Source organism: Homo sapiens, chromosome 4 (assembly GCF_000001405.40).
Source record: "Homo sapiens chromosome 4, GRCh38.p14 Primary Assembly".
Classification (NCBI taxonomy): Eukaryota; Metazoa; Chordata; class Mammalia; order Primates; family Hominidae; genus Homo; species Homo sapiens.
The window spans coordinates 12,554,713-12,570,758 of record NC_000004.12 but is presented as its reverse complement, the minus strand read 5'-3'; the positions used below and the strand labels follow the sequence as shown (position 1 = coordinate 12,570,758).

Here is a 16,046-nt window from a genome sequence, read left to right as displayed (position 1 = left end):
TCTTACCGTAATGGAAACAAACTTTTTGCTTTCAATGAATATATGGCTTTCTTTTGCCTTGCTTAGGATACCAAAGAATACATTATTCCATAATCCATTCATACACACATACACACACACAAATAATAATAATAATAAATAAGATTGCGAAACAAATGATTTTGAACAAGGGGTTTGCAAGTCAATTTTCCTACTTTAATATTTATGTGGAAAAGTGTCAGCAACTCTGTCATTTATTCCTAAACACTGGACTTCAAAATGTATATGTCTTATTTGGTATTGGGAAAGGGCACAATCATTACATGGTGAGAGGTATGAGGTTTCATTCGAGTACTTTTCCAGAGATTACTCTGTAATATAATATTAAGATAGAATTTCTTTCCACACAGACGTTGCTTCTTATTCATGTACAATGTGCGGTATTTTCCCCTTTAGATACTTTGAGGCATTAATGTGATAACTCAAGCAATGTGGTTGTGCTTTTGATAGCCCCTCTTTAATTCTGGTTTTGGAGGAAACTTTGACTTCATCACAGAGAAATCCAATAAAACTTAGATACAATTAGGACTATTAGCACTAAAAAGGTCCACAGAATTCTCAGCATTCTATTAATCCAACAATAACAACAACAAAACCCTTACAAGTCTACATGGGCATTTTTCTCTAAATGCATTAGATAATTAGGTTGCATCATTTAGATAAAGGAATCATTTAATTATAATTATGCATAAGGACATTTACTAAGTTATTGCAACTATCAGTATAGACACATTGATGAGATAAGACATTTGCTATCCAGGAGTTCACGGAGAAATTAAGAAAAAAAATCCTTATATATGTATTGTTCATTGTAAGTAACTAGAGATATGATTCTTAATTAAATAAAACCTCTCTTTTCAACTATAATAGTCTGACTATTTTTTGATGACAACTTTTACATCTAACTCCCTCTTTTCCCCTGTCCCTCATATCTGGGCTAGCTGAGATTAAAGCCTAGGTGGTACCTTATTTGGTGCCCATGAAAGATTAAAACCCATGCAAGCTTTTGCCTACATGTAAGGACCCTCACCCTAGCCCCACCCTGAAATCACAGTAAAACCCAGAGTCAGTCTCCTTTTCTGTTTCTCTCAAGGCATAACAAGATTTGAGAGGCTTGCCCAGCCCTTCCCAGGACCTCAAAAAAGTAAATAATAAACATTTTCATAACTCTTCTGGTGTGTGTCACATCATCAGTCTCAACATTCAAACCAAACTTTGAGTGCAGGTCTATCCTGCCTTTGGGAGGGAAACACATCTACTCAGGTTTGAAACCAGTTGAAATGTCACAGGAGTCAGACTCATGGAAATCCAAATAACAGCTGTTCTACAGATAAAATGATGAGATGAAGGACATTTTTAGACATGACTATATGAAGTAATTCCTCATCCTCTATCCCATACATCAATCAAAATAGTCTAGGTTACACTAGGGTAACAAATATTTCTAAAATATATACCTGGCAGTTAATTCGCCCTAATTACAAGTACTGCTGGAAAATCACAGGTTTCTGTCATAGCAGTATCCTCACCTAATAAAGAGCAGAACAGAATATGGGTGTTGGGGCGGGGGAGAGAGAGAGAGAGAAAGAGAAAGAGGGAGAGAAAGAGAGAAAGGGAGGTAAGAGAGAAGAAGAGTTACATAAAAGAGAAGACTTATCTCTTCTAAACCTACCAATCCTAGCTTGGTGCAGTGGTGCCACCTGTAGACCCAGCTACTCAGAAGGCTGAGATGGAAGGATTTTTTGAGCCCAAGAGTTCAAGTCTGCAGTTATCTGTGATCACGTCACCACACTCCAGCCTGGGCAACAGAGCAAGACCCCATTTTAAAACCTACCAATTACCCTGTAGGGAGGATTAGGAGAACTGAGTGGTATGAGAGTAAAAGTGTCACCAGTAGAAATGTCAGCAAACCCTCGACCAAATCCAGCTGCAATCTGCTTTTGTAAATAAAGTTTTATTCAAATGCAGTCATGCCCAATCATTTATAAATCATCGCTGCTTTCATGCAACAACAGCACAATTTAGTAGTCCTGAGAGAGACCCTAGGCCTGCAAAGCCAACAATATTTAACCTCTGACCCTTTAAAGGAAAAGTTTACTGACCCCTTTAGATGTCAATCTATAAGGACATTCAAGGACAAATAATTGAAGACAAGCAGTAAAATCAAAATATGAGAAAGAAAACAGGAAAATGGTATTTCTCTTATTATTATAATCTGAGTAAAACTTTGGCCAGGATGAGTCAGGGAAGGATATTATGGGCAAATCATGAACCTCCAGCTTGAACAAGAGACAAGAGGAGAGAAGGATCAGCCTTCTAGTAGGAACCCCGATTATCACAGTCTGGCAAAGGAAAAGCATAAAGGAAGCAAAGGTGGGAAGCTAGAAATACAAGTCAAAGAGAGTAGCAGCTGTGGTACAGAACTTGAAACCATGTCACCAAAGTTGCTAATGAAAATACGGGGCATCTCTGCCCTGGAGGAAAGACTAAGGGGAAATGACCTAATGACATTTTTTTTTTTCAAATTGAATTTGAAAAGCAGATAAAGAGAAGTATGATATCCTTAAACTGTTTAACTTAAGTGGCTCCTGGGTTTTGGAATTTGTGAATCATTAATGAGAAATGAAATGGGAGACTGGAAAATTGTTGCCAGCATTAACTTTTGCCAAGCAATTACATATATAGTCATATATATGTGTGTGCATATATATAAACATATATATACATATATAAAAATATATATACACATATATATCTGATAATCTGGCATTATGTTATAAATTATAAGTCATTTTAATATGAATGGATAACAATTACATAACCTTGGAATAAAAGAAAGCCTTTTTAATTGAACATGCTTTTATTTATTAGAAAATAAATAATTTTTATTTCCATTCTTTTAATGACTAATGACAGTTTTATCACAGACCTGCACCAAACTCCTAATGACAATTGAAGACACATTTATAAGTACAGAAGACAATCATGGAACCAGGTGAAAGGAAGATAAACGAAGGCTAACTTTGATTATATAAAAGAAATTGATTATTTCTTAAATAAGAATGAACCCTCCTCTTTGAAAAAAAGACCAGATTATTAAAAAGTGCTGCCTTATCTTAGGGTAGTCTCCCTAACACAGGACAATTCGATAAAAGGCTGTATAATGAACTCTGAAATACCTAGGGGAGTGTGAGAGAATAGCAGCATTCAGTAGATGCCTTTCAGGTATCAGACACAGTACTAGATCCTACATATTTATAATCTCCATTAGTGCTAAGAGAAGCTGATGAATTTGCCCAAGGTCATACAGCATGTAAATGGAAGACATGAAATTAAAATCTGGGCCTAACTGCATCTTACCATTTCTTCATTTTCCTTCATGTGTTGAACCCAGGTATGACTGGGAAATCAGACAGAATCCTCACAAATATCTCTACCAGTGTGAAAATTCTAGATGTTGCCAACCCACACTGTGCCAATCATAGAGAAGAGAGTGAATATATCAAAAGACAACTGAGCCAAACCCACTCTAACCAGAGAATATGTGACAGAGGTCCACCTAACACATATTTAATATTGTATAGCTAACTGAAGACATCTATGAATCCAAGTCATTGCATAATCCAGGGTGGCAATGAGAGAACTGCATAGTATAACAGTCAGGTCAGCTAGGAAGGCAGCCAGAAGACGGACTGGAAGTATTATGGAACGATCCCTGTAAGAGACACAGCAGGGTTCATGAAGTATAGGAACAATTCGGTCAATAGGTGATGAACCTGGAAGGAATTACATTTTCTTCTCTCCAGTCCCTGTTCACATTACAACACAGCTCACATGTAGCTTTCCTCTTGAAACATGTCTCCAATCTCATTCTTTCTCTTTCAGAATTACATGTCTTCCACTTTGCAAGTGCTATGGTTGCTACTTGTGGACACCTATGTCTTAGCTATCATCTATTATTTTTCTGTCTTCCACTATAGTCATAATTGTTACTTCCTTAAGGAAAATGATCACATCAATTACAGAAATGTGTTTGTATAGGTGTATGTGTACTTCCATTTGCAATAAATAGCAGAGTACTCGACTTGTGATGGCAGTTTAACACAGTTTTCATGCCTTGAACAAAGGAAAACCTTTCACAGGATGAAAAGAAATAAAATCTTTCACAGGATGAAAAGAAAGCATTTGTTGAACATAGGATTGGACCAAATACTGAGTTAGGCAATTCCACACCTAAGAGGTTGCAGTCTCCACTCAATCCTTTTACAGATGAGAAAATCAAGACCCATAGAGTGTAAGTTGCCTGCCCAAGTTAGGACAACTGGTAAACAGCAAGACAAATAATTTCATTTAGGTTTGCGAATCTCAGGTCCTTTCAGTTGTATCACCCTGCGGGTCTGCTGACTGCATGGTTGGTCTGTGGAACAGAAGAAAGTAGTTTAACTGTGGTATTTGAGCCCATCTTGGAGTTGCCCTGCTCCTCCCTTAAATCATCTTGATCCTTTTCTTTCTCAGTGGAATTGGGGTCAGCAGGTACTTTTTGTCTGTGTTCAAGGTTCCGCCACCCCACCAATCTTCCTGCTGCTTTTCTCGTGGCAAAGCTCCTCTTTTCTCTATTCATAGCTAATGCCCCTGGAGTCATGCTGTAGATTACCCATGGAGCTGAAATGCAATCATTCTATGTCCTTAAGGGCTCTTAACTTTACACTCTTCATTCATATTCTTCCAAGTCACAGCCTTGGTTTTTGTGGAATGAAATTTTCAGGCTACTTTACAAATGTCAGTCCCATTCCATTTTCTTATCAGTTTAGTACGAAGACAGCAGAACCAGAATCTGCCACTCAGATTGCATTTTGTTTCTACTGAGGGCACAGATTTGAAATAAGCAAAATAAAATTTTCTTTCTCATTTAAAAAGAAAACTTGGGGAATAAAATAGAATGAGGAAACAAAGAATTATTTTTAGTGACTATTGTGTCCTACAAATTCTTTCGAAAATCAAAAGAAAAAGAAGCAAATCCTAAAAATTACTCATATATCGAAAATGTAATTAAAAATAAAAACAAGTATAATCAGGAATATAGATATATTATGTATATATTTTACAGACATGATGTATACAGCATATATTTTATATATTGTATGACTTTCTGATTATGCAGGTTGTACATATATATATTTATGTATGTTTTTATATATATTTGCGTCTATAATCCTACTAACTAGATCAGCTTCCCAAGAGTGGGCTCCAGATCACCTGCATCTGAAGCCCCTGAGAGACTTGTTTAAAAATGTAGATTGTTCCTGAGCCCCTCTCCAGATTCACCGAATCAGAGATTTTAGGCCTCTAGACCAGAAATCTACATTCAGACAACCTCCTTAGCTGCACCCAAGTTTAAGAATGCAAAACGTAAAAATATCCATTTAAAAATGTATTTTGGAACGTTTCTGTCTGAGCTCTTTTATGCATGCTTTTTCAGCTAGATCCTGTGTGTATCACCTAACATTGCATAAAAATTATTATCACACAACTTTGGCACATATTTGTAAACATCATTTTTAATGGCTGTATAATATAACCTGTAAAGATACTCTAATTTACTTGTCATGTTTTTCAACATTTAGATTACTTCTATGTTTTTGCTTTATAAAAAATATTGGTATGAATCTCTTCAGACATACAATTTTCCCCCATGTGTATCTATTCATCTCTGTGACTACTGTACTGTACATACTTTCCAGCACTGAGTTATCACAATTTCTCTAATAATTTAAACTTGAGAGTCAAATTTATATGATTTTTGACTTGACATCTTTAAATGATTGCACAGTGCTGAATATTATTATAACCATTATTTCCTATTTCATGAAGTATCTGTGAACCTTACCATTAGTATTTCCTGTTTATTTTTCCCACTGAACAACTTATCTAAAGAGCTATTTATTAAGAATATTATGTCTTTAATGCAGCTGTTGCACACTTATTTGCTATTTTTTGCCTTTGAATTTTACTCATTATAGCTCTTGCAAAACACATTCACTTTAGTTCTTTTGAACTTAACATTTTAGAACATTTCTCTGTTTATTTCTTTTTAAAAATGTATTTTGATGGTGCATATTAGAGGTATAAAGCATAATTTTTTTTACATTTATTCTTAACTCCTGATTAGATCCAAGATTTGACAATTAGTAATTTACTTAATCTTCTAGACATTTTGTGTGTGATTTTTATGTTTTGTTGTATTCTTTGGGATTTATTTTTATGCATATTTGGGGGAGATGACTAGCTCATCAGCCCTATTGTGATGGACTTGGGATTCCATGGGAAAAATATTGATTTGATTGTTACTGAGAACAACCTTTAACAAGCCACCTCCTAGAACCAGGGCCCCCACCTCTGGGCCAGGCCGATCTCAAAGGCGCAAGTACTGGAGCTCCTACACGTGTATTAGCCAGACACATGGAAAAGGTAAAGGGTCAGAGAGCTCTCCTGAGAGAAGAAACCCCACATGGGAGTTTAGATTCAAGGGAGGCATGCTACTGTCTACCCCAGAAGGTCCCAGCCTTTGGAAAGACTCAAACAAATTTTTGAGGAAGGGCCTGCAGGTACAGCCTTGCTTTGTTTGAAGATAGAACTGCAGAGGTGGAGAATCAGGCACAAGAGCAATGATCAGTGGTGAGGCGCTTTACTGGTGTGCTTTTTATTAGGTTTGTTTTAGTAGAAAATCATATCCTAAAAGAGTGTCTCTGGCTTCCTTGAATCAAATTCATTGGGCATCAGCAGGAACCTCACTTTTATCAACTGGGATATTTTCATAAAGAAGATATTTATCAATAATATGCATCATTCAAGGTATGATTGAAAGGGACTAAAGAAGGTTAACAGTAGATATCTTTCCAGCAGTATGTAAAATTATGCATGCAAGCATATCTTCTCAAACATTTATCTTAGCCCAATTTTTGGTTCATGATAAGCACCTCAAATTATTTAACTTCCTCCCAGCCCCATTGGGCATACCACCCAACATCCATCCTAATGGAATGCCAGTTGGTACTCATTTTCCCACCCACTGCATAGTAAACACCATTTCTTTTCACCAAGGATAAAATATTGAGTCTGTTGTAAGTAAGTTAATCTGTGTAGAACAGGATAAATAATGTATTTCATTATTTAACTGAACTTTCTGAATTATGACGTATACAAATATTTCATGACCATTTTAAAGAGTGTTAAAAGATGTATATTTTCATACATAAAGAAAAATGGACGTCAAAGTAACTATCTTTGGGTGAGGAGAATATGGGTAATTACTTTCTTCCTTATTTTCCCAATAATTTGATACCATTTATGACACTTTATCAAATGGAAAAGTTAAAAAAATGAAAATGTAAACATCTTACAAAGATATTTCAGTGGTATCACCTTTTGCAAAAGTGAAAGAGGATTTTCTGTCTCTAATTTAGTGAAATTCATAGCCAACTATCCCAGCAATTCTACCCTTTCTTTTTGTGAATTTCCTTGTTCCCATAATCTTCTGCACCAACAGTAGATCTCCTCTTCTTTTTTTTTTTTTTTATAACAACAGAAGTTCTTTTTTTTTTTTTTTTTTCTGGAGTGAGCTGATAAAAAGACCATTTTGTACTTTAAATTTTATCTCTATTTTCTCATTTTAATAGTTTCCTTTCCCATCACTCATGAAGGTTTCTAAGTTAATGTCTGCTGCTGGATTTTAAAATGACTACAGTTTGCCAGACTTTTGAAAGGGAGTCACATGCAGGATTTATAATTAAGTGATGGCAGAGAGGTCCTCCCTCAGAAGGAATAAAAGCAAGTCTCAGCATGAAGCTGTGCAGTTGGGGAGAATAAAAGATTGATACTGCCAAGAGTAAAGGGTGTGAAATTAGGGACTCTCAAAATTCATTCTGTAAACCCTCTGGAGCAATCTCCAGAGATTACTGAAGTTACAAGGTACTGGGTCACTCAGACCTTCATTCTCATCTGTGAAATGGCAAATGTTTCTTTGTTCTGTCTAACCCACATGACTGTTGTGAGAGGCGAAGATAAAACATTTAAAATAGCACTGAGATCGCTTAAGGGTTTCAAAATGAAGGGCATAGATTTTTTCATTCTATCAACCCACAAAGAGTATAGCCAGCATACTGAAATGCACATTGGTTGAAGGTTAAGGACTTCTACAACTATCTCTGCTCAGCTGAAAGCGGATAATGAACAAGAACATCAATTTGTGCAATAAGCTTTTGACTAGGAGATAAAGTCTTGGAATCAGCTTTGTGGGGGCAGGTGAGCCAGCTAATGCTGCTACCAAATCTAATTAATTATAGTGTTGATTTCTTTACCAACAAATAGGAAATGACATCTTGAAGCCCAGCTTTATGTCCCTAAGAAATATGTCTGTTTTACAATGTGTAAATGCCATAGAATACTTACTTTGTCTAAGCCAAGCAGTGCCAAAATCAGCCTTTAAAAAATGTTATTGTTGTTGGCAAAATTATAGTTGTTGATGTTGGCAAAATTACAGCTATGTGAGCAAAATTGTCTGCTATAGAGACCTTGGGAAATTGTAAAATCCCAGTTTTCTTTCTGTGTATTTAAAATATCTAGCAATCCTGTTGTTTTTCATATGTAAACAAAAGTATTAGTTTCAATGAAGAAATCAAATATACTGTGCTAGTAGTCAGTATGTTTTGATTAATTGTTGCTTGATAAATTAAATGGCATCAATAGTTATTAGCTTCATAAAGCTGTCATACAATAGCCAGAGCTATTCCTCCATCTAAAGTCTTGTATAGAATTTTTGAAAAATAAAATTGACCCAGGCATATAATTTGAAAATTAAATGGTCAGAAGTTACTGGCATGTTTGTCCTATACTAACATGGCCTTATGATAGATGTGAGGTGGGGTGGGGTGAGGGGAATGGGTGTATTCTTTCTTCATCCAACACCTATTAGGAACCTTGGTTCTATCAGGCATTGAGACCTGTTCTGGAATATTTGATAGGGGCTTGTTATTTTACTACATCTCAGAATTGCATTTTACACCATTCATTCAGTTGCCATTTAAAAACTCTTATTGAATACACTACGTTTATATACTTATTAGAAGTAGAAGTTTTGGGTAGGGGAGGCATTTATTTTGTCAGTTTTTTGAAGACAGAACTGTGATTGTTCCCCTTGCAACTTCTGCAGCAAACAGCAAAAATCCTTTGTACATAATAGGCATTTAGTGTTTATTAGTTTAATTAAATTAACAGAAAGAGTTTGATTAGACTTAGATGTTAGACAGGTTCTTTTTGTAAGAAATATTGTGATTTCTTAGGACAAGGACAGTTGCAATCTGTCGTCCATCAAAAAGTATGCCCATAGAAAAATATAATGTCTTAACTCTAAAAGGCAATAAGGGGTGGAGTACAGTGTATGGAACTAGAGGTAGAGCAGAAGGAAGAATAACTGACATTTGTTGAGTGCCTCCTACATTATGGACCCTGGATGGCATTGAGATTAGTATCCATGTTTCTAGCCCTTGGCTGGTACATTCTTTGGTCACACCAACCCCTCACTTTGGAAACTTTATGTAGCACATGTTTATATAAACTGCTTGGTTTCATCATGTCACATGCTCTGTGTGACCTGACCCTTCATTATTTCTCTATCTTTATTCTCTATCATGTTGTGCCTATTTGACATAATTAGAATATTTGTCCCCACCCAAACCTCATGTTGGATAGAAATCTCCCAATGTTGGAGGTTAGGCTTGGTGGAAGGTGTTCGGATCGTGTAGGCAGAGTCTTCATGAATGGCTTGGGCCAACCCCTTGTGATAAGTGAGCTCTTAACTCTGAGTTCACTTGAGGTCTGGTTGTGTAAAAGTGTGTGGCACCTGACTCCCACTTTCTCCCACTCTCACTGTGTGAGATGCCTGCCCCAGTTCACCTTCTGCTATGATTGTAAGCTCTCTAAGGCCTCCCAGAAGCAGATGCTAGAGCTATGCTTCCTGTACAGCCTGCAGAACTGTAAGACATTTAACCTCTTTTCTTATAAATTACCCAGTCTCAGGTATTTATTTATAGCAATGCAAGAGCAGCCTAATATACCATCTCAACTTAATTGGCCAAGCCCATCATTTTGGCCACTTTCTCAAATATGCCAGGTTGTTCTTCATGCTAGGACATTGAACATGCTATTTCCTTTTATTGGAACATAAATACACAGCTCTTTGAGTAGCTGCTTTCTAATGTTTAGATTTCAACTAAAATGTAATTTTCCATCAAAGTGATCTTTCATTACTATCGTAAATAATTCCCCATTATTCTTTATCTCAGTCACTAATTTCATGCCTTCATCAAACTTACTGAGCAAAAATGTTTATCGTGTCTGTCAGTTTAATTGTTTTTGACTGATATCCACTTGGACCACACTCATCCCTCAGAATGCAGGCACCAGAAGTATAGAAGATACAGAAGACTTGATGGCACATGTATTTCAGGGGAAAACCTGGCATATAATGGGTAATTTATAAAGGAAATAGGTTTAATTGACTCACAGTTCTGCATGGCTAGCAAGGCCTCCAGAAACTTACAATTATGGCGGAAGGGGAAGCAAACACATCGTTCTTCACGTGGTGGCAGCAATAAGAAATGCCAAACAAAAGAGGGAAAAGCCCCTTAAAAGTATCATATCTTGTGAGAACTCACTCACTATCACAAGAACAGCATGAGGGTAACTGCCCCTTGATTAAACTACCTCCCACAGGTTCCCTCCCATGACATGTGGGGATTATGGGAATTACAATTCAAGATAAGATTTGGGTGGGGACACGACAAAACCGTATCAACCTTCTTCACAACCTTCTTCACAGGATGAAGCATGTTATGAGATAATATATGTAACAAGCAGATAGTATGTGCTCAAGAATTTTGTTATTCATAATGTATAATGTACAAGCAGACTATTGCTTATAGTCTTTTAAACAATTGAATCTTAATGAATGTTCTTTTGCCTTTCATTTTATTTGTGGATTAATAACTTCTTAACCTATATCTAAAGTGGGTGTATAGTATGATGCTATTTGACCATTTTATAAAATCAGGTTACATTCATTCTCAAGCATAAACATCTCAATACTAGAGTGGGCTTCCACTGGATGAGGCACAGTTAACATGCAGTTACGGCCTTTCTCCTGGTTTTCTTGAAAGATTGTCATAGTCAAGGCTTTTGTGTAAAACATTTGCTGAAAATTAAGAATTGGGCAAGACCTTGAATAGAATCCATCAGAATATTAGGATTCACATTATGTTAGGGATTTCCACAGCTCTTTCTTTATTAGTAGGAAACATGCACCCTCCTTCCTCATCTCTCAGTTAATTGTTTTTTATTCTCTAGGGTTTGGTTAAAATGCTATGGTTTTTCTGAAATTTCTCCTGACCTCCTTAACAATGGTCAGTCAGGTCGAGTTAATGGCTCATGCCTCACAATCTCACTCTACATTTAATTGAATGACTGATTTCACACTTATGAACTAGGCTGCAGGTTCCTTGAGAGTAAGTTATTCTATTTTTTTCTCTATATGTATACATGTGCTAATGAATATGTGTTATGTATGTCTACAAATAAAAGGTCAATGTGGTTGTTTAGTGAATGACAGAAAATGTGGGAAGAGGTCAGAAGACAGGTTGTGGTGCACATGTTGGCCAGATTAAACAGGGTTAAAGCCCTTAAAGTTTTTTAAACAGTGGAGTAGAGCAAGGAGAAGGGTTATTTGGACCTCTGGAGTGGGTTGAAGGGTGTCTGCCAAAGATATGTCCACATCAAATCCCTGATGCCTCCACATATTACCGTCATGTGTCGCTTAACGATGGAGATACATAAAGCTCAAAAAACTGGACTGAGTGATTTAGGTCAGTGAGTTCATAAGAGAGTTCTTCAGTGCCTCTAGTCATGTGGCATTTCCATCTGTATGTACCCGCAAGGTTCAACTCGATGTTGTGAATTTAGTACGTGCTCAATAAATGCTTACGAAATTCAACTGATTTTAAACTGTGCTGATCCTCCCAACCCAGGTATTTTGATGTCATTTACATTCATATTTATTTATATATTCTGATGATTGCTCAAAAGTGCTTTGAGTCTTACCACATCCATGCAAATTTATTAAAAATAGGGACTCTCAGTCAATCTCCAGATCTCCAGTCACAGTTGACATTTACATTGTCACAATATTTTTCTTATTCCTTTAGGTTGTAATAGATATTTCATCTTTTTAAAAAAATTTAAAAATAAACCCAATAACATACAATCAAGATATAATCTGTCTATTTGAAAACAAGGTCTTATAGTTGTAAAGTGTGCCGTTTTTGGCCACTTATTCTCATTTTTGAAGTTATACCATTAAATTTCAGAGTCCTGAACAAAAGATTAAGGAATAGAAAAAAAAAAAGCCTTAAAGTTACAGCATGTTACAGAGAGTACTTTTATAAATGACAAATTAGAAATTTGGTAGAGGAAAACAAAGGCCAAGATGGAGATTCTACCTATAATAAGAGTTGCAGAGAAATTAAGAAAAAAAACTTTAAATCTCAAAGATTGAGATTCCATCTGTAATCAGAGTTGTGGAGAAATTAAGAAAAAAAGTTTAAAAAGCACCTTTGCAAATCAATGTACTAACTCATGAATTAATAATAACACAGTATTCTTTACTCACAACAACTGTAAATAGCTAAATGTTTGTAATTGTATTTGAATAACAAGAAGGATTAATGAATTTAAGTAACATTCAAGGCATACAACTATTCATCATTCATTCCTTTATTTTTCATTCTTCAACAAATTATTGAATATCTACCATATACTAGACATTATTAATTTATGCAAGGATAATTTTGTTTTCTTGCTGTTGTTGTTTAGAGAATGTTGTTGTTTAGAAAATGGGTACCTATGCTATAAGTGGAATTTAATACAGAGATCGACACTGGAAATTGTGTTGAGTGTGCCAGTTTGATTAGGGACTTGAGATGGATGGATCACTGGTCCCAGTTCTTCACTCTTCCCTGCATCACTCCATTGCTGTGGCCTCATCCTGGGTGTAGAGTATTCCTACCTCTTGACTCTGGACGTGGCCAAGTGACTTCCTTTGTTAAATAGCACAGGGGTGGATGTGACAGTGTGCCAGGTAGGAATCTAGGTCTCAAGCGGCCTTGTGTGTTTTCATCCTCTCTCTCCCTTGTGCTTCTGCTATTGCCTTGAAAAGAGTTTTCTCTGTCATTTCTGTCCCTTCAGCCTGGGCCCCAGGATAAGCCTACATGGAGTAGAGTCACCTCATTCAGGCATAGCCAAACCTGCAGGTTGAGGCAAAGTAACTCAGTTGAGGTCAGCCTAGATCATCCAATACTCATCTGAGATTCAGATGCATGTGAATAAGTGATTGCTATTTTTGGCCACTGAGTTTGCATGAGTTTTGTTTGATTCAGTGTTTCAGTGGCCATCTCTTAGCCTAATACTTTTGACCTCTTCTCATCCTATCACTTCCTCCTCCCTGTTAGTGAGGAACTTCCTGATTGGTGAGTTTGGAAGAAGAAATCGGAGATGCATAGTCAAGCCATTCCTTCTTCCATTATGCTTGGATATAAGATCCCTTCAGGACTATATGTTCTGCTCTACTTCTTGTTGTCATAAGTTCTACAGGATGAAACACACACATACATACATGTACACACATGAAACGTGTAGAGAGACCTGTTCCAGGTAGGGGTAGTCACATTGAGTGGGTAAATTCCTTAAATTTAAGCATCAGTATTACAAAGCCTAGAGGAACACAAATATAAGCCACCTTCACTAACATCAGCTTTCTCAGTAATAAAGTCGGTATTTTAGTCTCATCTGCCTTACTTATCTTATTTCTTATCTTATTTCTCTGTTCAGAACTAAGAGAAGTGAGAGGGATGACAAATCATTGAGCCTCTTCATACCCCAACTTAAGGAGTATGGGCCAGAAGGATTGGGGCAGATGGTGCCATGCAATAAGCTGTAAAAGTAAAGCTGAAGGAGTAAAGGCTCTTTCTCTAAGATATTGGTGATGGCAGTGAAGGATCTGAAGTCTGAGCGGTGACCTCGTTTCATTGGGTGAATTCATCTGGCAACTTTGAGAAATAGACTATGATTAATTAATTAATGTATCTATGTACGCATACATGTATGTATGTGTGTGTGTAATATACTTAACGAATACTCATAAAGAACTATGTGAATTACATAAATGAACTTGTTTAATCTTCATAACAGTGCTATATCATAATGCTTATCATAGTCTATTCAGGCTACTATAACAAATTACCATAGACTGGGTAGCTTATAAACAACAGAAATGGATTTTACGTGTGGAGGCTGGTAAGCTCAAGATCATTGCACTAGCAGATTTGGGATACAGTAAGAGCCTGCTTCCTATTTTCCTAGATGGCTGTCTTCTTGCTATGTCTTCACGTGGTAGAAGGGGGAACTGTGGTCTCTTCAGTCCCTTGTGAGAGTAGCAATACACAAAAAATCTACTGTCATGACCTAATCACCTCTCTAAGACCTTACTTCCTAATACCAACTCATGGAGATTATGTTTCATCATATTAATTTTGTGGAGACACCATCATTCATTCTATAGCAATGTTATCATACAATATAATGTTACTGTATTAGAGTGTTATCCTTATTACAGTGAAGAGGATTTTTAAGTGCAGATAAAGGAGGCAAGTTGCCTAATGTCACATACCTAGTAAATGGCAGAGCAAGGATTCCAACCCTGGCATTATGTCTACAATATTAATATCCTTAACATTAATCTTTTTTGGGGGTCAGCATATCTTATGTTGGTCCTATTGTGTGGGTATGGCATTTTAAGCCTCATGATTCACACAGGTTCATGCTGAAATACAAGGCTACTTTTTTTCCACTGGATTTTATCTACTGCTTTGTGAGCACTCGGCTTAGACCTCAGAGCACACGACACGTAGAACTTAATTGATTTCTGTAATTTAGGGCAATTTTGTGCAAAGACAAGATGTTTGTTTTGTAGAAGCAACAGCGTATATACAAGCCCTTATGCAATAGGATCCTGGACTTTATTTCTTTTAAGAAAGGGGAAACCTTAGGAGAGGCATGGGCCTCAGGACTCAGGAAAAGGATAGACGTTGGAATCAGTAGTGGAATAGAAGTCCTGGGATGGAACAAAATCATGGAGGATATGGTCTGAGATGAAAATATTGGGCATGTTAGCCTCAGCAAAAATGAAGACTTCAGTAAAGCTGAGGACTGCCTGCTCAATTTGTGGGAAGCACCCAGTAGCTCTTAGACTTTGATAACAAATTCCAAAAGCTTTGCACTTAGTACCCTGCCGACGACATTGGCCACAGCAGTTGCTTGCTCCATAAAGCCTAACCACGAACACAGACTAGACTACAACTGGCCTCAGCAGACGGTGGGCCAAGCTGCTACATCTTGATCTTGAGCTATGACTCAGCTTTACCCAAATAGCTTTAGCCCAGGCAAACATTTCACAATAAGATGAAAAGTCTTCTAGGCCTTTTAGTCATTCAGGGATAGAGTAATATTCTCTGCCTTCCAATTTTAGATGCATGAGTTGTCCATGAACTGCACTGAAATACTGGGGCCTTGGCTTCAAATTATTATTTCAAAAGTAGGCAGGTAGGGTTAAGTCAGGTGCTTCAGATGCCAATCTTCTTTCAGGGACAGGAACCAGCCTTGGATTCACAGACACACTTCTGAAGATATGTGCTGAAGCTAAGAAACACAAACTCCTTTCCAGGCCTCTCTGAGAGTTTTCAGTGATGTATTCATAAGGTCATATATTTTGTAAAATTGGCAAAAGTAAGACATTGTATCCACAATTGGTTGTGACGACTGCTTATTTGGACTCCATCTTCCCCTTCATCTCTCTTCCTCAGGAGAAGGTTGGGAAGGGAACAGACATGGACATTTCTGGGATC

At 36.8% G+C, this 16,046-nt stretch overlaps 2 long non-coding RNA genes across 5 annotated transcripts in view; one reads left to right on the top strand and one right to left on the bottom strand.

Moving 5' to 3' along the window:
• The window catches only part of LOC105374492 (uncharacterized), a 153,067-nt gene that overhangs the window by 52,150 nt on the left and 84,871 nt on the right, over positions 1 to 16,046 (top strand). The window contains exon 1 of one of the 3 annotated variants that reach the window (XR_001741375.1): positions 7,666 to 8,340. The exons of the other annotated variants lie outside the window; for them this stretch is intronic. This is a non-coding gene — a long non-coding RNA (uncharacterized LOC105374492). Of the gene's footprint in view, positions 1 to 7,665; positions 8,341 to 16,046 lie in introns of those variants that run through there. 3 annotated transcript variants of the gene reach the window in all.
• LOC105374490 (uncharacterized) overlaps positions 1 to 16,046 on the bottom strand; it is a 31,004-nt gene that overhangs the window by 230 nt on the left and 14,728 nt on the right. The window lies entirely within an intron of this gene.